The 23,995-nt window shown below is 46.0% G+C and overlaps 1 protein-coding gene across 1 annotated transcript; it reads right to left on the reverse strand.

Annotated features, from left to right (window-relative positions):
• Positions 1 to 475: 475 nt before the first annotated feature.
• PRAMEF10 (PRAME family member 10) lies at positions 476 to 5,850 on the reverse strand. The gene is made up of 4 exons (NM_001039361.4): positions 5,796 to 5,850; positions 3,141 to 3,452; positions 2,166 to 2,744; positions 476 to 1,054 (listed from the first exon to the last, which is right to left on the reverse strand). Exons 2-4 carry the CDS (start codon positions 3,425 to 3,427, stop codon positions 496 to 498), a joined length of 1,425 nt encoding a protein of 474 aa, NP_001034450.3. The 5' UTR covers positions 3,428 to 3,452; positions 5,796 to 5,850; the 3' UTR covers positions 476 to 495.
• Positions 5,851 to 23,995: the final 18,145 nt, after the last annotated feature.

Below are 23,995 nucleotides of genomic sequence, written 5' to 3' on the forward strand. Positions count from 1 at the left end.
GTTTTTCCACTCACAGTGAGCACGTGCCTCAAATACGTGGCTGTGTGCTTCCTTTAAGAAGCGGCTGACCGGGCCCTGCTGCTCACACCTGTAAACCTGGCACTGTGGAAGGCCAAGGTGGTCAGATCACTTGAGGTCAGGAGTTTGAGGTCAGCCTTCGCCAACATCGTGAAGCCCTGTCTCTACTAAAAATACAAAAATTAGCCGGGCGTGGGGGCATACACCCACAACACCAGCTACTTGGGAGGCTGAGGCAGGAGAATCACTTGAACCCAGGAGGTGGTGCTTGCAGTGAGCTGAGATTGTGCCACTGCACTTCATCCTGAGGGACACAGTGAGACTCTGTCTCAAAAAATAAAATAAAATAAAATAAAAATAAAATAAAATAAAAAATATAAAAAATAAAATAAAATTTTAAAAAATGCACCCATGTACAATATTTTAGTTCCCAAGTGTCCAGAAGAAAGCTTATCCATCCCACGAACCAGGCCTTCCCTAGGAGCAAAGATGGAAGTCCACTTTCTCAGATGGCCATGAGCCACAGTTAGGGCAAGGGACGGGACCAAAGAAGATCCTCTTGGGCTGCCTGACTTCCCTGAGTGTACGCATCAGCTCAGCCCGAATTGGGGTGAGGATCTCCCAATTGACATGACCCTTGTAGTCAAGACTCTCCAGAGGGGCAGGATACAACTCCAGGCCTAACTTGCTCAGCCCACGTGTGTGACGCAGCAGGTCTTTCAGAGCATTCATGGAGGTCTCATTTCCATGAAAGTTGAAGGTGGTGAGCTGGGAACAGTGGCTCAGGGCAGGCAGGAGGACCCTGAGTTGGGGGTCCTGGATCCGACAGTCCTTTAAGACGAGGGTCTTGAGAGTAGCAGCAACTTTCTCCAGCAGAACTCCAAGGGGCTCAAGATTGGTGGTCCACATTAGGATATGAATCAGACGCAGCTCCTTTAGCTGACTGAGGCTTGGGTACTGAGACAGACACTCCATGTCCCGATCAGTTAGGTAAGCATCACTGAATATAAAGGCCCCCAAGGGGTTCTTGAGGTACCTGGGGAGAGCAAGAAGTTAGTTATGGGCAATGGTGCCAGTTAGAGGAGGGGGGTGGGAAATCATCTCAATGGTAAACTTGAAGTGGGCATTGAGTAATTCTGCACCTTACTACCACACAGGTGTTATAGTAACTGCAATGGGGAAGCCTGTTTTACCCAAACACAAGTTTGTTCCCATCATCAGATGATGGTCTGCATGCAAGGTGCTGCCTGATGAAGACTCAGATCATTCAGGGGCCACTCCATTTTAGGCTCAGTCCTTTCACCCTTGCCTGTGTGATTGGTACCACTCTCACACCTACTCCCTCACCCTCCATCCCAGAAGCATGCACTTCTGATATCAATTATCTTTCCTGGAGTTCAAAACAACGTTTTACAGACAGGGAATTAGAGCAGTTTGCTAAGCTGCTGAAGACAGAGCTGCTACTGTGGAATGCACAGGTTTGATGTACTTTCTCTTTTTTTTTTTTTGAGACAGTCTCACATTGTAACCTAGGCTGGAGTGTAGTGGCACCGACTCAGCTCACTGCAGCCTCCACTTCCCTTGCCTCAGTCTCCCAAGCAGCTGGGATTACAGGTGCCTGTCTGCATGCCCGGTGACATTTTTTTTTGTATTTTTAGTAGAGACGGGGATTCACTGTGTTGGCCAGACTGGTCTCAAATTCCTGACCTCATGATCTCCCTGCCTTGGCCTCCCGAAGTGCTGGGATTACAGGCATGAGACACCACAACCGGCCACACCTTCCCTTCTTTCATACCATCCTCTGTATGAAGAATGTGTTTTCATCATATTAACTTTATACACTGTTCCTCACAAGGAGTTCACAAATGCACCCTCACTAGATCTGAACCCTCAACTAACCGGCTCCCTACACACCTCTCTCTGTGGCATCTACCCCAGGCCATCCCTCTGCCCTTATTTGAGTGGTCTTGTGATACCCATTTCAGGATATAGAGCACTGAAGAGCATAATGAGTTGACATTCTAGCGTCCCATTCCCTATGACATCACCGGTGGCTGGCACACAGTAGATGCCCACTAACATTTACTGTGAAAAAGAACATAAGTCTGTGGTATGGTCTGCAGAGAAAGCTCACCATCATTTCTTACCTGAGCAGGTGCTCCAGGTGCTCTTTGATATTACTGATCTTTTTTATATAAAGCATCTGGGGGTAGTACAGGCAGAGGAATGGAGAGTCCAAGTCAGGAATGCACGGCCACTGGACGCTCACGTACAACTCACGCTCATAACCGAAGGCTAAAAAGAGTTCACGAAGATTGCTCATCTGGCTCAGGTAAGGGGCAAACTTTCCCGTTTTATTGAGAGAGCACTTTTTCCAGACTTCCAACTCCTGGATACTGTCTGGGTATATCCTTTCCAATAGATTTCTGAAACTTGAAGTGGGCATTGAGTAATTCTGCACCTTACTACAACACAGGTGCACTAGGCCTCTTCTGTAGTGGATCCACCCAAAAAGGTAGCTCAGGCATTCATCCAGTGTACTTTCCTTTAGGCAGAGGTCTATGAACACCTTCAAGGGCTGGCGCTCTCCCATCCTTGGACAGTCCTCCACTGTCTGCCTCTTACTCATGGCCTCTGGGGAGCAGGAGAGGACCCTGGCTCCAGACCATATGGTCCAGAAATTCTCATCAACATCCCTCAAATCCAGCACTTGAAGTTTCCACCTCCTATGAGTAACATAGGGGAAAAGCTCAGAATGTAGGCAAGGACCCACCCCTGACCTGAGCTTTCACTCCACATCCAGGACATCAGTCAGCTGCTCCTGTCCTCAGTGCTCCTCCTTCTGTCTCTTCTCCATCCTGCTCCCTCTTGGATTCTGCCTGGTACCCACTTCTAGTACCTTTACTTTCTGCTGGGAGGAAGCAAGCTCCTGTTTCCTCAGTGGACCCTGTATGGTGAGCAGACCTTTTCCAGAGGATCTGGGCAATGGCCAAGGCCTCTCATGGGCACCGTCAGAAGCCTCTGAGCCACCCTAGCTCCCCAACCCCACTACTCCTCCTGAGCCAGCTGTCCCTTCCCTGGATGCCTGGACCCTTCCCCGAAAGCCACCTGAGTCACCTCACCTGGGGCGAACCTTCTGGGCCACCAGTGTATCAAGTCCCCTCAGGACAGCTTGCAAGGTCTCCAGATGAGGTGTCTTCATCAGGGATCCCAGAGGGAGGCGGAGGAAGGGCCAGGCCTGCACCATCAGCTTCAGGGCCTCAAAACGTCTCATGCTGAAGGCCTCCATGAACATCAGAGGGAAGACCTCCCTGGGCAGCTCATCCAGGGTGAAGATGGTCAAGAACTGGTTCCTCAGCAGGCTCTGCCCTGCCAGCTCCAGCAGTCTGGATGGGGCCTGGAGGCTCATTCTGACAAATCTCCGAGGGAAAACTCTAGAGGACAATCAAGTGAAAAGGCAAGTTTCTCGGGCCATTCCCCAGCAAGCCCCACTTCTCCTAGGGCCAAAGTCATTTCTCTAGCACGTGTGAAAGAGCCCTCAGTTTACTCCAATTCCGTTCTGCAATAAGTGGCTACAGAGGCATGGTTCTGCCCTTCTGGTACCAAGAAGAGTGTGTCCCAACCTCTAAAGAGCAGGCAAGATCCTTCCTAGTCCATGAATTATTAGCCACTGTTGCAATAAACTCATAGCACTGGGAAATGTTACCGAGGATCTCTGAAGCTCGGATCTCATGCCCAGCTAATCTTTTATTTTTTGACTTTTTGTAAAGACAGTGGGTTTCACTATGTTGTCCAGGCTGGTCTTGAACTCCTAGACTCAAACATTCCACCCGCCTTGGCCTCCCAAAGTACTGGGATTACAGGCGTAATCCTCTTCCGGGACTCATTATTGAAAATTTCACCAAGAAGCTTTGAAAGCTGTGTGACAGTGTTATGCATCATTCGCAAGACACAGGTGTTTCCAATACACACCTCTTACGCATGTTCAAAATGAACCACTTTGGCTGTGCGCAGTGACTCACACCTGTAATCCCAGCACTTTGGGAGGCAGAGGCATTGGATTATCTGAGGTCAGGAGTTTGAGACCATCCTGGCCAACATGGTAAAACACTACCTCTACTAAAATTACAAAAATTAGCCAGGTGCAGTGGTCTGCGCCTATAGTCCAAGCTACTAGGGAGGCTGAAGCAGGAGGATCGCTTGAACCCAGGAGGCATAGGTTGCAGTTAGCTGAGATTATACCACTACAATCCAGCCTGGGAAATTGGCTAGATTCAAAAAAGAGAGAGAGAGAGAGAGAACTACATTGGATTAGACTTCTTAAGCTCCATCCAGTTAATCATGATTGGATTTTTGTCTTTCTTCCAGATTAACTATCAAATTAGATATTCATCCATGAAAGTGAAATATTTAGGGATATGGTGAAAGTCCAGGACTCATTCACTGATTTACTCCACAAACATGGAATTTTAGTAATATGTGACCTTTGTAGTTCTGAGTGTGAGATAGGGAAGAGTTGAATCTCTTCCTGACATTAGACAGAAAGAAAAAAACTCGAAAGTATCTTTGTTGAGAGATCCTTGGCCACATCAAATTTATCAAAATATTTCAGAGTTAAAACAGTTTTACAAAGATAGACATGACAGTCCCTAAGAAAACACAGTAGAAATCTTCATGAATCCAATGATCACCTGGGTGGTATAATTTAATTTTTTTCGTGTCGGGGTAGCTGAGTCTCACTTCATCACCCAGGCTGGAGTACAGTGGTGCCATCTCAGCTCACTGTAACCTCTGCCTCCCAGGTTCAAGTGATACTTATGCTTCAGCCTTCCATGTAGCTGGGATTACAGGCATGCACCTCCACACCCATGTCTCCGTTTGGGTGGAAGAGTTACAATGAGGATGTGATTGGTTTAAAATTAAGGTCAAAGATCCTCTTTGGTTAAGATTTTTTTTCTGTAATAGGGCCTCGCAATGTTGCCCAGGCTGGAGTACAGCAGTGGTATGAGCATGGCTCACTGCAGCCTCAATCTTCTGGGCTCAATTGTTTCTCCCATGTCAGCAACCCATACAGTTGGGAAGACAGATGCATGCTACCATGCCCGGCTAATTAAAAAATATGTATATTTTGTAGAGGCCAAGCACCAGTGGCTCATGGCTGTAATTCCAGCACTTTGGGAGGCCAAGGCAGGTGGATCACTTGAGGTCAGGAGTTTGAGACCAACTTGGCCAGCATGGTGAAACCCCACCTCTACTAAAAATACAAAAATTAGCCAGGCAAGTTGGCAGTTGGATGTAATACCAGATACTCAGGAGGCTGAGGCATGAGAATTGCTTGAGCCTGGGAGGCAGAAGTTGCAATGATTTGAGATCGTGCCACTGCACTCCAGCCTTGGAAACAGAGCGAGACTCCATCCCCCCTTCAATAAAGAATATTTTATAGAGATGGGTTTTTGCCGTGTTGTCCAGGTTGGTCTCAGACCCCTGGGCTGAAATGATCCTCCCGCCTTGGTCTCCCAAAGTGTTGGGGTTAAAGGCATGAGTCACTGCTCCCTTCAAGAATTTTGAAATGACATAAACCAAAGCACAATCCAATTTTTTGAAATAAAGACAAAACTGCATTTAGAGGAAAAAATGCAAAGCTTCAAATTGTTCATATGAGAAAAAAAACAAAACAGGATATAACTCTATGCCATCTTAGGCTGCACTGTCACCATCCCAGACCAGCTGACTGTAGGTCAGTTGGGAGTGTCCTTACAGAGAGATTAGTGACTTACCAGATCTGGACTCAGTTTGGAGGGTGCTCAGACCTCAGGAAGAACTAAGCAGGAACTCCAGGCTTGAAGACTTTGGGTCTCTTCTGTGGGTCTTTAGAAGCTTTTATTGACCTTTCTAATCACAACTCCCACCCACACCCCTCCACGTATCCACTGCTAGCTTCCAATCAACAAGTGATATCTGATTGCATTTCTGAAGCTCCACCCAGTTAATCCTGATTGGGGTTTTGGCTCTCCCCAGATTAATGGATTGAATCAGATATCCATTCATATCAGATATCCATATTAAGTTCATGAATCAAGAAATTGACAGTGTTAGGGATAGGGTGGGAATCAAGAATGCATTCATTCAAGACCGGGCAAGGTGGCTCACTCCTGTAATCCCAGCACTTTGGGAGGACAAGTTGGGTGGGTCACCTGAGTTCAGACATTCAAGACGAGCCAGGCCAACAAGGTGAAACCCCGTCTCTACAAAAATACAAGAATTAGACAGGGACGATGGCACATGCCTGTAATCCAGCTACTCAGGAGGCTGAGGTGGGAGAATCGCTTGAACCCAAGAGGCAATGGTTGCAGTGAACCAAGATTGCACCATTGCACTCCACTCTGGGTGACAGAGGGAGAATTTGTCGGAAAAAAAAAATTCATTCATTCATGAACTTCACAAACACTGATGGAATTTCACTAATATGTGACCTGCATAGTCCTGAGTCTGAAGCAGGGAAGGGTCTAATCTTTCCCAGATATTAGACAGAAAACTAAAATCTGAAAGTAGTATTGTTGGGAGATCTTTGGCCACATCAAAATCACAAAAATGTTTTATAGTTAAAATAGCTTTATAAAAACAGAGGAGTCGTCCCTACAAAATCAAAATAAAAATCTCCATGTATTGAATGGTCTTGTGGGTTTTATATCACCTAAGGTAGCAATTTTTTCACTCCTGCTGGTGGAAGAGAGGTGCCACTGAGGACCTGAGTGGTCTCAGGGCTTAGGTTAAGGCTACTCTGGAAGAAATTGCAACCATACTTATAAACTTTATAAATTTAATCAGTGAAGAAGGGAGGGGGAGAAACAGACATAAACCAAGCTTGCAGTGCATTCAGCATTCATCATGAGGTCAGCTTGCTCTCTGACCTGCTTCCTCATGGTTGCTGGCAGCCTGCTGTCCCAAAATCATGTAGACCTTAGATTACAGTTGCCCTTAACTGCCCTGCAGACAACAATTTAGGCCTTGTAAAACATTAACTTTTTCATTTGACATATTCTTTCAGGTTCTGCATGTCAGTGAAGCTACTGATGGCAGGTGATCTGAAGGGCCCTGCAAGGCACCAACTCACCAAGGAATGCAGTTTTGACATCCTGATGACTTCATACCTCTTACTGCCACCAAACTGCACCAACTTTCCAGCCTCTTGCTATCCATGATCCTCTGAAAACTCTCAGTACTTCTTGGGGAGATGAATTTGAGGGTCTCCTCCCAGCTTTTCATTTTGCCACCCTGTGATCGTTAAACTCTCTGCTGCAAACCCTGCTGTCTCAGAATATTAGTATGCTACTGTGCTGCAGGCATAGGAACCTGATGGTCCTGTAAAAAAAGTCATGTCAAAATTACAAAGGGAAGTGAAGGTGGAGGCTGGTCAGGGTTGAGCTGTGTGTTTTAATGGGATCCGGGGAGTGAACCAAGACTTGGTAAACATGTTGGGGGTTATTGAGGGCGTGGAGGAGGAATCTTTCCAACATTGCACTGAGGCCCCCTTGGTGTTGATACTTGTGACCAAGAATGAGTCTTCCAAAACAGTGTATGTAATTCTCCTGATTTTTCCTTTCAAAACCTTTGTCTTCCTTTACCTCCCTGAATAATCTCACATCTATTCCCATTGCTTTGCTCATTTCATAATAAAAATCCTTTTTTTTTTTAAAAGAATCTCTTTCTCTGTGAAGTAGACCATATATTTTATTGCCACACAAGATGAGTAGCCTGGTATTATGGAGAGAAAGGGTCAAAAGGATCCCATTCCCCACCAGTTGGGGGTGATATAAAGGTCCTGGTTATTATTTGTCATATGTGCACCTGCATATTGCCAGTGAAAACTTACAGGTCACATTTTTCAGGAGTCCAAATTAACCACCTGTGGAAGGTCTTATGATTGGCTTACATTCTGTCCCTGAGTAAAGAATCTGATCTTGAGTTCATGAGTGCCTCAAACTCTGCAATTATTGATGAAGCTTCACCCACTTACAGTGAGAAGGACACTGATTTGATTCTGATCATGAAGTTTCACTGGTTGTCTTGCAAGGAAAATGTTTAACTTGTTATGTTGTCAGCTAAAGTCAATGATTGTAACCTCTGTATTGTACCTTCCAATGGAAAAAACAAAAACAAAACAAAAACTCAACTCTATTTGAGCCTTGCCAGGTCAGTAAAACAAAAGAAAATTTAAAAAAAAAAACTGATAGGAGGAGTCTCATTCCCTTCTTTTAACTTTTCTCACAAAAGCATTCCAACTTGTAACAGACTTTGGAACACACCCACTTTGTTGGTCTGTGTCTTCCACATTGATTCTCACATTTAGCTTCCAATGAAGATTTATTTAATTATTTCTGCCTTAAGCGCCTTACCTTCCACTGACACCAGGTTGCATGGTGACAGTTTGAACTGGGGTGGGATGAAAAAATATTTTTATGAATTTTATTAAATAATCCTTGCATGTCATCTCCATTGAAGAATGAATAGGGTCTTCTCCAAATATGTGCTGAGTATGGATGCATCCAATAAATGAAACTATTGTTTATTTCATATAGTAGAGCTATAGATGCATTCTATTTGCCTCGAGTTTCCAATGAACAAATGTCTAGTTTCAGTAAGTTCTCTGATTATATGGCAGAGGATAACATGGTCATGTTCTGATTCTGTGTCTATGTCAATACTTATAGCATTTCAGTCTTCATAATGTGTGTCAAATGAAAGAGTTCGATTCTAGGGGGAGTCTGGGACACTACCTAGATTAGACCCGGTTACACTAATGTTTCCTATGCATGGAGATAAGTTACAAGTAATGAAATCAACAATAGTCATAGGCCACCCATTTGCATCTATAGCTTCTGCTCAGTGCCAAGTCATTTAATTATCAATATTAACCAACCGTGTGTGAGAGCAGGTTCTACTATTAGTTGTGATCCTTCCCATTCATCTAAATGACTCCATAGCCAGTAATTGCTTTGGTTAGTGAGAATGGCTAAATTTTGAATAGGAGAACTTAGAAAGTGTTTGCTTTGACTGGTGAAAGTACGTAACAAAATAAAATGTAGGCTTGATCACTTTGTGTTAATACAAAACAAAACCAAGTCTCAGTCAATGGAAGGAGATCAAATGGAGTTTTGTCCCATTTTCTTAAAAAAGCTGTCTACCATGTGATGATGTCTGCTTCTAAGAAAGACTTTGTTCCTTGGTTATCCTTAATTTTAAGTCACCTGGTATGGTCCCATCCAATGCTGCTCATGGGCAGATTTCCCTTGGTGTCATTTTAAAAGATGCAGTCTCCAAATGGTAGGGCATGAAGGTCCAGTGATCATCGAAACCCTCCTTCACCAACTGGAAATAGGCTTTGAAAGGTCTTGCAGTACTGAGTCATATTGTTACTGAACGATGGGCTCACTCTCCTAAGTGCATAGAAAAGCAAAAAAGGCTGGGCATGGTGGCTGACACCTATATTTGCAGCACTTTAGGAGGCCAAGGTAGGCGGATCACAAGGTCAGGGGTTCGAATCCAGCCTGGCCAATATGGTGAAACCCTGTCTCTATGAAAAATACACAAATTAGCTGGGTGTGATGACCCATGTCTGTAATCCCAGCTACTTAGGAGGCTGAGGCAGAAGAATCACTTGATCCTGTGAGGCAGAGGTTGCAGTGAGCCGAGATTGCACCTCTGCACTCCAGCCTGGGTGACAGAGCAAGACTCCATTTTGGGAAAAAAAAATTTATTAACAGTTAACTGGGCTGGGCACAGTGGCTTATACCTGTAATCCCAGCACTTTAGGAGGCCAAGGTGGGCGGATCACAAGGTCAGGAGCTCCAGATCAGCCTGACCAATATGGTGAAACTCCCTCTCTATTAAAAATACAAAAATTGCTCTCCCTCTCCCTCTCCCCACAGTCTCCCTCTCCCCACGGTCTCCCTCTCCCCACGGTCTCCCTCTCCCTCTCTTTCCACGGTCTCCCTCTGATGCCGAGCCGAAGCTGGACTGTACTGCTGCCATCTCGGCTCACTGCAACCTCCCTGCCTGATTCTCCTGCCTCAGCCTGCCCAGTGCCTGCGACTGCAGGCGCGCGCCACCACGCCTGACTGGTCTTCGTATTTTTTTGGTGGAGACGGGGTTTCGCTGTGTTGGCCGGGCTGGTCTCCAGCTCCTAACCGCGAGTGATCTGCCAGCCTCGGCCTCCCGAGGTGCCGGGATTACAGACGTAGTCTCGTTCACTCAGTGCTCAATGTTGCCCAGGCTGGAGTGCAGTGGCGTGATCTCAGCTCGCTACAACCTCCACCTCCCAGACGCCTGCCTTGGCCTCCCAAGGTGCCGAGATTGCAGCCTCTGCCCGGCCGCCACCCCGTCTGGGAAGTGAGGAGCGTCTCTGCTCGGCCGCCCATCGTCTGAGATGTGGGGAGCGCTTCTGCCCCGCCGCCCCTTCTGGGAGGTGAGGAGACCCTCCACCTGGCAGCCGCCCCATCTGAGAAGTGAGGAGCCCCTCCACCCGGCAGCCACCCCGTCCGGGAGGGAGGTGGGGGTCAGCCCCCGCCAGGCCAGCTGCCCCGTCCGGGAGGGAGGTGGGGGGTCAGCCCCCCGCCCGGCCAGCCGCCCAGTCCGGGAGGTGAGGGGCGCCTCTGCCCGGCCGCCTCTACTGGGAAGTGAGGAGCCCCTCTGCCCGGCCATCACCCCGTCTGGGAGGTGTACCCAACAGCTCATTGAGAATGGGCCATGATGACAATGGCAGTTTTGTGGAATAGAAAAGGGGGAAAGGTGGGGAAAAGATTGAGAAATCGGATGGTTGCCATGTCTGTGTAGAAAGAAGTAGACATGGGAGACTTTTCATTTTGTTCTGTACTAAGAAAACTTCTTCTGCCTTGGGATCCTGTTGATCTATGACCTTACCCCCAACCCTGTGCTCTCTGAAACATGTGCTGTGTCCACTCAGGGTTAAATGGATTAAGGGTGGTGCAAGATGTGCTTTGTTAAACAGATGCTTGAAGGCAGCATGCTCGTTAAGAGTCATCACCACTCCCTAATCTCAAGTACCCAGGGACACAAACAGTGCGGAAGGCCACAGGGTCCTCTGCCTAGGAAAACCAGAGACCTTTGTTCACTTGTTTATCTGCTGACCTTCCCTCCAGTATTGTCCTATGACCCTGCCAAATCCCCCTCTGTGAGAAACACCCAAGAATGATAAATAAATAAATAAATAAATAAATATACAAAAATACAAAAATTAGCTGGGCATGGTGGTGCATGCCTGTAATCCCAGCTACTGGGGAGGCTGAGGCAGGAGAATCACTTGAACCTGGAAGGCCAATGTTGCAGTGAGCTGAGATCATGCCACTGCACTCCAGCCTGGGCAACAGAGTGAGACTCTGTCTCAAAGAAAAAAATAAAAATAAAAATAAAAAAGAGTTAACTGACAAGCAGATAGGAGACAAGTTCTAAACCTGTCTCCCCAATCTGGGGATGGTGGAGCAAGCTTGCATCATCTTTCCAACTGGTTTCAGATGATGCCAATTCAAACAGTCCGCCTGGCTGTGTTAATAGTTAAGAGGTTAAACCTTTTTCCCATCGGACATGCCTGAGCAATTTGGGCTTTGCGTCATCACCTGTAACAACTTAAGCAATGACTAATCTGTTGGAGTTGATCCTCTGGTTACATGATCAGAGCTAAAAAGTGCAGGGGATACATAATGTTCTATTATCAAAGGCATAGGTTCTCCAGTAAATACTTAATTATCAGTGTTTCTGATTGCAGTTGGTGAAAAAAAAATACCTTATGGGGGATCTGGCTGTGTTTTCCCATAGGGGGTGGTAAAAATTTCATTAAAGTAATCCAGTCTTGCTGGACATGATGGCTCACACCTGTAATCTCAGCACTTTGGGAGGCCGAGGCTGGTGGATCACTTGAGGCCAGGAGTTGAGCAATCTGGGCAACATGGTGAAACCCCGTTATCTACTAAAAATACAAACATTAGCTGGGTGTGGTGGTATGCCTGTAATCCCAGCTACTTGGGAGGCTAAGGCATGACAATCACTTGAACCCAGGAGGCAGAGGTTGCAGTGAGCTGAGATAGCACCACTGAACTCCAGCCTGGGTAACAGAGACTCTGTCTCAAAAAAAAAAAAAAAAAAAAATTAACCCAATCTCCTTTGTTAGTTTAGCTAATTTTAGTTTCAAGATACCATTTCTTCACTCGACCTTTGTAGAATACCAAGGATAATGAAGTTAATGGTAGTGCCATTGGATCTGAAAAATCTTATCTGTGTGATCACCTGCCCAGTAAACGGAGTTCTCCTACCACTGGAGATTTCTCCAGAGATGCCCCAGAAAGGAAACACATTTTATAACCATTTATTCACTATGGCTGTGGCATCAGCCTTTCTAAAAAGGTAAGCTACAACCCATCCTGAAAACAGACACACAATCACAAGAATTGTAGCCTTTTTACATGGCTCACTGACATCATTGGTCCATGACATTCCCCTTTCTTGCAGCTATATGTGTGTATGTCTATCTATTCCTATCTATATCTATACTTAATTTTTATTACCATGATTCACTTCCACTCCCCTTTCCATAGATAGCCACTCTACTCTTTGACCTAGCCTTGAATTTGCATGTGACCTCTTAGAATATAAGTATATAGAAAGTATTTAGAATATATACTTAAGATGGCTGAATAGGAACAGCTCCAGTCTACAGCTCCCAGCATAAGTGATGCAGAAGATGGGTGATTTCTACATTTCCAACTGAGGTACCAGGTTCAACTCACTGGGGAGTGCCAGACAGTGGGTGCAGGACAGTGGGTGCAGTGCACCGTGCGTGAGCTGAAGCAGGGCGAGGCATCGCCTCACCTGGGAAGCACAAGGGGTCAGGGAATTCCCTTTCCTAGTCAAAGAAAGGGGTGACAGATGGCACCTGGAAAATCAGGTCACTCCCACCCTAATACTGCGCTTTTCTAATGGGCGTAACAACTGCACACCAGGAGATTATATCCCACACCTGGCTTGGAGGGTCCTGTGCCCACGGAGCCTTGCTCATTGCTAGCACAGCAGCCTGAGATCAAACTGCAAGGCGGCAGCGAGGCTGGGGGAGGGGCCCCCACCATTGCCGAGACTTGAGTAGGTAAACAAAGCAGCCCAGAAGCTGGAACTGGGTGGAGCCCATCACAGCTCAAGGAGGCCTGCCTGCCTCTGTAGACTCCACCTCTGGGGGCAGGGCACAGACAAACAAAAGAAAGCAATAACCTCTGCAGACTTAAATGTCCCTGTCTGACAGCTTTGAAGAGAGTAGTCGTTCTCCCAGCATGCAGCTTGAGATCTGAGAACGGGCAGACTCCCTCCTCAAGTGGGTCCCTGACCCCCGAGTAGCCTAACTGGGAGGCAACACCAAGTAGGGGCAGACTGACACCTCACACAGCTGGGTACTCCTCTGAGACAAAACTTCCAGACGAAAGATCAGACAGCAGCATTTGCGGTTCACCAATATCCACTGTTCTGCAGCCTCTGCTGCTGATACCCAGGCAAACAGGGTCTGGAGTGGACCTCCAGCAAACTCCAACAGAACTGCAGATGAGAGTCCTGACTGTTAGAAGGAAAACTAACAAACAGAAAGGACATCCACACCAAAAACCCATCTGTACATCACCATCATCAAAGACCAAAGGTAGATAAAACCACAGAGATGGGCAAAAAACAGAGCAGAAAAACTGGAAACTCTAAAAATCAGAGTGCCTCTCCTCCTCCAAAGGAACGCAGCTCCTCACCAGCAATGGAACAAAGCTGGATGGAGAATGACTTTGATGATTTGAGAGAAGAAGACTTCAGAAGATCGAACTACTCCGAGATAAAGGAGGAAGTTGGAACCAATGGCAAAGAAGTTAGAAACTTTGGGAAAAAATTAGACAAATGGATAACTAGAATAACCAATGAAGAGAAGTTCTTAAAGGACCTGATGGAGCTGAAAACCATAGCATGAGAATTATATGACGAATGCACAAGCCTCATTAACATATGCAATCAACTGGAAGAAAGGGTATCAGCGATGGAAGATGAAATGAATGAAATGAAGTGTGAAGAGAAGTTTAAAGAAAAAAGAATAAAAAGAAAAAAACAAAGCCTCCAAGAAATATGGTACTATGTGGAAAGACCAAATCTATGTCTGACTGGTGTACCAGAAAGTGATGGGGAGAATGGAACCAAGCTGGAAAACACTCTGCAGGATATTATCCAGGAGAACTTCCCCAATCTAGCAAGGCAGGCCAACATTCAAATTCAGGAAATACAGAGAATGCCACAAAGATACTCCTCGAGAAGAGCAACTCCAAGACACATAATTGTCAGATTCGCCAAAGTTGAAATGAAGGAAAAAATGTTAAGGGCAACCAGAGAGAAAGGTCGGGTTACCCACAAAGGGAAGCCCATCAGACTATCAGCTGATCTCTTGGCAGAAACTCTACAAGCCAGAAAGAGAGTGGGGGCCAATATTCAACATTCTTAAAGAAAAATATTTTCAACCCAGAATTTCATATCCAGCCAAACTAAGCTTCATAAGTGAAGGAGAAATAAAATACTTTACAGACAAGCAAATGCTGAGATTTTTGTCACCACCAGGCCTGCCCTAAAAGAGCTCCTGAAGGAAGCACTAAACGTGGAAAGGAACAACCAGTACCAGCCACTGCAAAAACATGCCACATTGTAAAGACCATCAAGGCTAGGAAGAAACTGCATCAACCAATGAGCAAAATAACCAGCTAACATCATAATGACAGGAACAAATTCACACATAACAATACTAACCTTAAATATAAATGGGCTAAATGCTCCAATTAAAAGACACAGACTGGCAAATTGGATAAAGAGTCAAGACCCATCAGTGTGCTGTATTCAGGAAACCCATCTCACGTGCAGAGACACACATAGGCTCAAAATAAAGGGATGGAGGAAGATCTACCAAGCAAATGGAAAACAAAAAAAGGCAGGGGATGCAATCCTAGTCTCTGATAAAACAGACTTTAAACCAACAAAGATCAAAAGAGACAAAGAAGGCCATTACATCATGGTAAAGGGATCCATTCAACAAGAAGAGCTAACTATCCTAAATATATATGTACCCAATACAGGAGCACCCAGATTCATACTTTTTTTTTTTTTTTGAGCAGTAGCAAGATTTATTGCAAAGAGCGAAAGAACAAAGCCTCCACACTGTGGAAGGGGACCCGAGCGGGTTGCCCCACCCAGATTCATAAAGCAAGTACTTAGTGACCTACAAAGACACTTAGACTCCCACACAATAATAATGGGAGACTTTAACACCCCACTGTCAACATTAGACAGATCAATGAGACAGAAAGTTAACAAGGATATCCAGGAATTGAACTCAGTTCAGCACCAAGCAGACCTAATAGACATCTACAGAACTCTCCACCCCAAATCAACAGAATGTACATTCTTTTCAGCACCACGCCACACCTATTCCAAAATTGACCACATAGTTGGGAGTAAAGCACTCCTCAGCAAATGTAAAGGAACAGAAATTATAACAAACTGTCTCTCAGAACACAGTGCAATCAAACTAGAACTCAGGATTAAGAAACTCACTCAAAACTGCTCAACTACATGGAAACTGAACAATCTGCTCCTGAGTGACTACTGGGTACATAACGAAATGAAGGCAGAAATAAAGATGTTCTTTGAAACCAATGAGAACAAAGACACAACATACCAGAATCTCTGGAACACATTCAAAGCAGTGTGTAGAGGGAAATTTATAGCACTAAATGCCCACAAGAGAAAGCAGGAAAGATCTAAAATTGACACCCTAACATCACAATTAAAAGAAGTAGAGAAGCAAGAGCAAACACATTCAAAAGCTAGCAGAAGGCAAGAAATAACTAAGATCAGAGCAGAACTGAAGGAAATAGAGACACAAAAAACCCTTCAAAAAATCAATGAATCCAGGAACTGGTTTTTTGAAAAGATCAACAAAATTAATAGACTGCTAGTAAGACTAATAAAGAAGAAAAGAGAGAGGAATCAAATAGATGCAATAAAAAATGACAAAGGGGATATCACCACTGATCCCACAGAAATACAAGCTACCATCAGAGAATACTATAAACACCTCTACGCAAATAAACAAGAAAATCTAGAAGAAATGGATAAATTCCTCGACATACACACCCTCCCAAGACTAAACCAGGAAGAAGTTGAATCTCTGAACAGACCAATAACAGGCTCCGAAATTGAGGAAATAATTAATAGCTTACCAACCAAAAAAAGTCCAGGACCAGTTGGATTCACAGCCGAATTCTACCAGAGGTATAAGGAGGAGCTGGTACCATTCCTTCTGAAACTATTCCACTTAATAGAAAAAGAGGGAATCCTCCATAACTCATTTTATGAGGCCAGCATCATCCTGATACCAAAGCCTGGCAGAGACACAACAAAAAAAGAGAATTTTAGACCAATATCCTTGATGAACATTGATGCAAAAATCCTCAATAAAATACTGGCAAACTGAATCCAGCAACACATCAAAAAGCTTATCCACCATGATCAAGTGGGCTTCATCCCTGGGATGCAAGGCTGGTTCAACATACGAAAATCAATAAACATAATCCAGCATATAAACAGAACCAAAGACAAAAACCACATGATTATCTCAATAGATGCAGAAAAGGCTTTTGACAAAATTCAACAACCTTCATGCTAAAAACTCTCAATAAATTAGGTATTGATGGGACGCATCTCAAAATAATAAGAGCTATCTATGACAAACCCACAGCCAATATCATACTGAATGGACAAAAACTGGAAGCATTCCCTTTGAAAACTGGCACAAGACAGGGATGCCCTCTCTCACCACTCCTATTCAACATAGTGTTGGAAGTTCTGGCCAGAGCAATCAGGCAGGTGAAGGAAATAAAGGGAATTCAATTAGGAAAAGAGGAAGTCAAATTGTCCCTGTTTGCAGATGACATGATTGTATATCTAGAAAACCCCATCATCTCAGCCCAAAATCTCCTTAAGCTGATAAGCAACTTCAGCAAAGTCTCAGGATACAAAATCAATGTGCAAAAATCACAAGCATTCTTATACACCACTAACAGACAAACGGAGAGTCAAATCATGAGTGAACTCCCATTCACAATTGCTTCAAAGAGAATAAAATACCTAGGAATCCAACTTACAAGGGATGTGAAGGACCTCTTCAAGGAGAACTACAAACCACTGCTCAATGAAATAAAAGAGGATACAAACAAATGGAAGAATATTCCATGCTCATGGGTAGGAAGAACCAATATGGTGAAAATGGCCATGCTGCCCAAGGTAATTTATAGATTCAATGGCATCCCCATCAAGCTACCAATGACTTTCTTCACAGAATTGGAAAAAACTACTTTAAAGTTCATATAGAACCAAAAAAGAGCCCGCATTGCCAAGTCAATCCTAAGCCAAAAGAATAAAGCTGAAGGCATCATGCTACCTGACTTCAAACTATACTACAAGGCTACAGTAACCAAAACAGCATGGTACTGGTACCAAAACAGAGATATAGACCAACGGAACAGAACAGAGCCCTCAGAAATAATGCCGCATATCTACAACTATCTGATCTTTGACAAACCTGACAAAAACAAGAAATGGGGAAACAATTCCCTATTTAATAAATGGTGCTGGGAAAACTGGCTAGCCATAAGTAGAAAGCTGAAACTGGATCCCTTCCTTACACCTTATAGAAAAATTAATTCAAGGTGGATTAAGGACTTACATGTTAGACCTCAAACCATAAAAACCCTAGAACAAAACTCATAGGTGTTCTCACTCGTAGGTGAGAATTGAACAATAAGAACACATGGACACACGAAGGGGAACATCACACACCGGGGACTGTTGTGGGGTGGGGGGAGGGGGGAGGGATAGCAATAGGAGATATACCTAATGCTAAATTATGAGTTAATGGGTGCAGCACACCAACATGGCACATGTATACATATGTAACAAACCTGCACGTTGTGCACATGAACCCTAAAACTTAAAGTATAATAATAATGAAAAAAGAATATATACTTGCATTTTGTGTGTGTATTTATTTTAATCCACGTATATGCTCTAGTGTATGGTGCTACAGAAGAGGGCCTGACAATTAATTGTCCAGTCCCAGACACTTTGGAGAGTGAAGAGACGTGTTGTTATAATTAATTGCTTTTTTTTTGGAGATGGAGTCTCACTCTGTTGCCAGGCTGGAGAGCAATGGTTCGATCCAAACCATATCACAGGGGGTAATGCTGTCAGACAACGTATTTCTATTTCACTAGTAAAATTTCTTTGGAATAACAGATTTGGCAGTGAATATAAACATAGCAAACATTAGACCTGATGCTCTGGACCCCAACTCTTGCACAAGCCTCTGACTGTGGAGTTTTATTTGAAAGGATGAAAATGAGCAGCACATTGCAGGGACTGGGACAGTATCATGTCACCGCCAAAGATGTTGACAAACAGACATTCCGTCATTCCAGTCCCACCACTTACAGGCTGTCTGGCCTTGAAAATTTCTCCCTCTCTCTTTGAATGTGTCTCTTTCTCCATCAAATGTGTAGAAGGATAATCTCAATCTTCAGGTAAAAATGCTGAGCCCAAAGCATGGGGCATAATAAACCCTCCATAAATGTTGGCTACTTTTGTTGACATTCAAAGACAACAGGCATAATCAGGAAAACAGTTGAGGCCACAGGGGATAACTCAGCCCTGTGCCAACCACTCCCTCTGCCAGGACACAAGCTTCACATCCACCCCAGGAAGAATTAAGAGCAAGTCCTGCTGACTCTGCCTCCAGGACGTCCCTATGCTGTCCATGGCCACTCAAGTGGACACCAGGACCTCCTGTCTGGACAGTGCAAGAATCTTCTGAAGCGTGTCCCTGCCCTCTGGTTGTCCCCTCAGGGAACACGGTCCTCTCAGCCACCTCGGGGATGTGGAAGATAGGCTTCAAGTGGCCTCACAACCCTAATCCCAAACTGCCAATGACCCCTGAGTCACCCTTGCCCCTGGCTGCACCTCTCCAGTCTCATCTCCCTGAGCCAATTCACAACCTGCCAGTTCAGACACTGGTCTTCTCATTCTCTCTGTGTTTCCCCTAAAGCACGTGAACTAGTCATTTTGTCCTTCTTGCTGGGGTCTGAGTCACTGGCCAGTCAAGGCCAAATGCTGGATCAATGAGACAGGAGGAGGCCAATGACTCCAGGCCCCAGGTGAGTGAAAGGGAGGCTTTTATGAACTGGGTGCTATGGGAGAACCGCAGGCCCAGTGGGCATCCCTACAATGACCTCATGGTGTTTACATGTTTATGTGTGTGTGTGGTCAGCTAGGAAGTCACAGCTCTCCAGCATGGCTCCATGGCACAGAAAAGTAAAATATCCCATGTCTCTAGCAGGGCAAGTTTCCCGTGAGTCCAGCAAGAAGGCATGGGATCTGTGGAAAGGAGGCCTCTGGGAAAAACCCCACCTTTGAGGATAATGTTAAAAGCTGAACTTGAGACCCTGAGAATCCTATGTCCTTCCCACTCCCCGCAGGGCTTCTCTTGATCCGGCCCTGACTCCCGGATGCAGAAGCCCAGGGAGGAGCTGGGAGACAGGGAAACTTGCTGGGACGCTCCATGCATTTGTCTCCAAGAGGGTCCCCAAACCCAGGTGCCTGCAGCATCAGGGAGGCTCAGAGTTCCTCTGTCTGCCTGAAGGAAGCCTCATTTGCATGGATCCATGTAAGTTCTGAGATTCCTTCCCACACGTGGCCACCTGCAGGTGCCCCATAAATTCATCTTCCCAAGAAGAGCCAATGGGGATAGGCGAGGACCCCAAACCTGCTCCCAACCCCACATCCACAGGACGGAGAGGGATCACCTGAAGCACAGGCCAGGGGGTGAGTCCTGACCCCACTGTCTCCTCCTAATCCCAGAGGGCAGTGGAGTGGCCACAGGCACCCCACCAACTCCTCCTGTACCCCAAGCCCAAGATGAACAAACTTCCTGACTCACTGGCCTATCCCAACTTAAAAAAAAGCAGGACAACTCTCCCAGGTGGAGAAGACACCAGCTGCCTCTGCGGTGCTGAGCCCAGGAAGAAGATGATCACTGTTCAAACTGCCTTGGCAAGTTGTTTCAAAGAAATAAAACCCTTGGCTTCTCAGTGCTTTGAGTCACATTGCACTTAGTAAATGTTCGTTTTACTAATGTTTTTCACTTCCCTGTATATTTATATTCAGCAGTGAGAGACCTCTTCATATTCCAACAAAAAGTGATTAAAGGATTTGGGACACCTGTGATTATCCCCATGGGTTATTATGATCGCTCTGCACCGCGCAGCCTGCAGAGTTATTTTTCTGACCGGGATTGCAGTGCTGAGCCTGGTGTCCTCTGCTGAGTTCATTCTCCAGCTTCCTTGCATTTTATTCATCTTCCCTGGTAGCACCCGGAATTGCAGGAAGCAATCCCTGGTGCTCAGTGAAGGTCTTTGAATGAATCAAGGGGAGAGGAGTCAGGGGGAGGCAGAGGGTGTGGGAGGAGTCACATGCGCCAGAATCTTCTCTTCAGACATGTCACAGAGAGTCCCCTCCAGGCACTCTTGTTGGGCCTCAGTGCTGGACATTGGAGGACTTTTCTGACTGAGGATCATTGTGCCCTCTCTGGATCCACTGGAAAGCTCTGGGCAGCCATGTGAGCCTTGGTTTGACTTCCATCCTCCATGATTTTCCCTTTGCTTGTCAGAGGAGGTTTGGAATAACTTGGATGTCAGGGACTCTGAGCCAGACCCCATTCTTTTTCATTCCCTCCTGAAAAGCCCAGTCCTCACCGTCCCATAAGGCTCTGACCAGTGAAAAGATGGAGCTGCACGATTTCCAAAGAGAATCCTTTCCTTGGCCTCAAGCCACAGCTGCTTCCTTCTGACCTGCTGCTTGTCTTTGGATCCAGGATGGACACTCGCCACCCGCTCTTCCTCTCCTGGGACTCCCCACTCTCCTGACTCTGTGCCCCTGGGGCAGGATGGGGCAGCCACTAAAACCTCATGCAGACCAGGGCACATAAAGTGTCTTGGGAACTCACAGACCCAAGTCCAAGCCCCAGTGCCCCACGGTCTCAGACACAAGTCCCTGCCTTTCAGAGACACAGCTCTATGAGAGCCAGAGAACCTGGCTCCCTGCTCTGCTGCCACCTCCCTCCTTCCCCTTTATTTCAGCCCCATCAGCTCCTCTGATCACTCCCCTTCTTGGCCCCATTCCTACTTTCAGTCCCTCTGGCTCTGTCCAGCCTGGAGTGAGGGTGCAGACCTCCTCCCACCCCAGGCTCTGAGCACCTCCCTCAGCATCAAGTGTCTGCTTTCAGGGTGACCTTGTCCTCAGACTTGATTGGAGGAAGAAAGAGAGGAAGCCCCTACTTTAGCACACGATGTGCATGAATCTGACCTGGAATCAGACCCGGTTGAGGACCAGAGAAGGGCAACAGGGCCAGAACAGAGATTTTGACTCTTAGAAATGCACAGAGGGTGAACAGCTCAGGCTAAGAAGAGACCTGACTTGGACAGAAACAGACTGACTGCATTCCAGGTGCAGCCTTGTCAGCTCTAAGGCTGACCCAGGGGAGCCTGGGAAGGGATGGCCCCTGCACCGAGACATTTCCCAGGACCTCTTCTCAGCCTGGCACCCATAGGAAGACCAGAGGACTCAGGTCTCCTTCTGCGTGCCAGGCAGGGTCACCCTCCAGCAGTCCTGTCCCAGGGGCCTCTTTAGGGCCAGAGCAGCAGCTGAGGAACTCCCTGCTTTATGGCTTCTCATGTTCACCAAAATAGCTCAATAGAATTTTGGGAGAATTCCTCAATGACTGCTCTGGGGTGAAGGTCTCCCAGCATTGTGGCCATGTTCTGTTGTTCAGGAGATTTGGGCTGAGGTATCCAGGATGCATAAAGAGATACCTGCCTTGACAGCTCAGTCTGCAGGAGGGAAACAGAAGCTCAGAAATATTCTAGAGACCCTGAGCAAGTGCCTGGGGGAGCTTTGGTATTCTGGTGGAGATTCTGTGAGTGGAGAAGGGGTCAGGTCATCTTCTCAGAGGGGCTCTGAAGGATGCTCTGAGTTTGACAGCAGATGAGCACCTTGAGAAGAACAGGTGACAGGACATGGTAGAAATGCCCCCAAGTGCGGGATTCTCACTGGGGTCCTGGGGGTGGTGCTGGACCTTCTGAATTGGGCAGGAAGGGAAAGTCTGTCAATCAGTTCTTTTCAACATTTAGATTATTGAACTCCTTAGGGGATCCTCTGAGCTCCTCACCAGAGGGGTCTGTCCATCATTTGCTGCCTGAACACGGGCAGGTTCCTCTCCCTAGCCAAGTCTCAGGGTCACCACTTTAAAAATGAGGAATATAGCAACATGCCTTAGATTCCTCGTGAGGGAGAGCTGAGATCTTGGATGAATGGTACCAGTCCCTGCTGTGCCTTGTGCATGCTCAATCAACAGAGACACTCAGGATCACCTTTGGTGCTGAGCTCACCCTCAGCCTCAGGCTCACAAAGTGAGGGCAGGTGAAGTAGAAGCCGCACTGAGCACGTTTCAGTTTAACTCGATTGCACACATAGCAGGGCATTGATAGTGAGGTCAGAAACGTGGAGAAAGAACATTTACAGAAATATTCCATGATGGAGAACATCCTTCAAAGTACTTCAGTTTTGGAAGCCAGTGGCATCTCCGGGCTGTTTGGGTTTCATATGGAATGGGAGAGAAAGGCCTGGAGGACTTTCTGGAGGCGGGGGACGTTCTTGCTACTTTGTGCCCTAAAATAGCAGAAGAATGACTGTGTGATCCTGCTTAGGATGGGAGCCATCCCTGAACTTAGCAGATCTTTTAACATGAAATAGAGCTTCCAGGTTTTGTTGGGGAAATGTATTGTACATTTGCACACAATACAACCAGATGTGTGCACCGTTCTTAAAGACAGGAAGGCTGAGTTTCTCTCTCTCTCTCTCTTTCTTTCTTTCTTTCTTTCTTTCTTTCTTTCTTTCTTTCTTTCTTTCTTTCTTTCATTTCCTTCCTTCCCTCCCTCCCTCCCTCCTTCCCTCCCTCCCTCCCTCCCTCCCTCCCTCCCTACCTCCCTCCCTTCCTCCCTCCCTCCCTCCCTTCCTTCCTTCCTCCCTCCCTTCCTTCCTTCCTTCCTTCCTCTGGCATCTGCCCCAGCTCACATTCTCAGATTCCATCTTCCCAGGCTGATTTTCCAAGGCGAGCCCATCATTTTTGGGAGTAAACACGCTTTCCCTTGTAGTAGAGGCCAAGACTGTATCTGCCTCCTCTGCCCTCAAAGACAATGTTGTGTTTGAAGAGTCTGCACTGTCTCTTTTGTAATTATTCCCTTTTTAATTTTTAAACTCAATCTAGACAGAGTCTTTCAATCCTTCTGTGGAGATGCCCACAAAATACCCACCATGTTTTATGCTGTCTTGGTTCCTTCCCAGGGTTCTACTAGAACACCCGGTCCCATCCTGCCCAGCCGCCACCTCACTTTGTCATTCTGTCCTGATTTCCTTCAGTGAAGCCTTGACCTTAGTCTTGTGATCAATCACACCCTCCGTGGTTCCCTTTTCAACCTGAACCCACATATGACCTGCCCTGTTATAAAACATAAAACCCAGGTGACCATTGGATAAAGGAGCTTTTTAATCCGTTTTCTTAGGGTGGACATCACTGTCTTTTTAAAGCTGTTTTAACTGTCTTAACGAAACGTTTTGATAATTTCGATGTGGCCACAGATTTTCCCATAAAGATATCATCAGGTTTTGTTTTTTCTTTCTAATGTCAGGAACAGATTAAACCTTCCATGTCTCTATGAAGGTCACATATTAGTCAAACTTCATCAGTGTTTGGGGAATAAATGAATTAATGAGTTTTGGACTTTCACCCTGTTAT

Source organism: Homo sapiens, chromosome 1 (genome assembly GCF_000001405.40).
Source record: "Homo sapiens chromosome 1, GRCh38.p14 Primary Assembly".
In the NCBI taxonomy this organism is placed as follows: Eukaryota; Metazoa; Chordata; class Mammalia; order Primates; family Hominidae; genus Homo; species Homo sapiens.

Bases quoted from the DNA above. Each gene is read 5' to 3' on its own strand.
- PRAMEF10 (NM_001039361.4), bottom strand. From the start codon at position 3,427: ATGAGCCTCCAGGCCCCATCCAGACTGCTGGAGCTGGCAGGGCAGAGC. The intron at 2,745-3,140 runs GTGAGGTGACTC...TGTTACTCATAG, and splicing joins GCCCAGAAGGTTCGCCCCAG to GAGGTGGAAACTTCAAGTGC. The intron at 1,055-2,165 runs GTAAGAAATGAT...TGCTCTCCCCAG, and splicing joins CACCTGGAGCACCTGCTCAG to GTACCTCAAGAACCCCTTGG.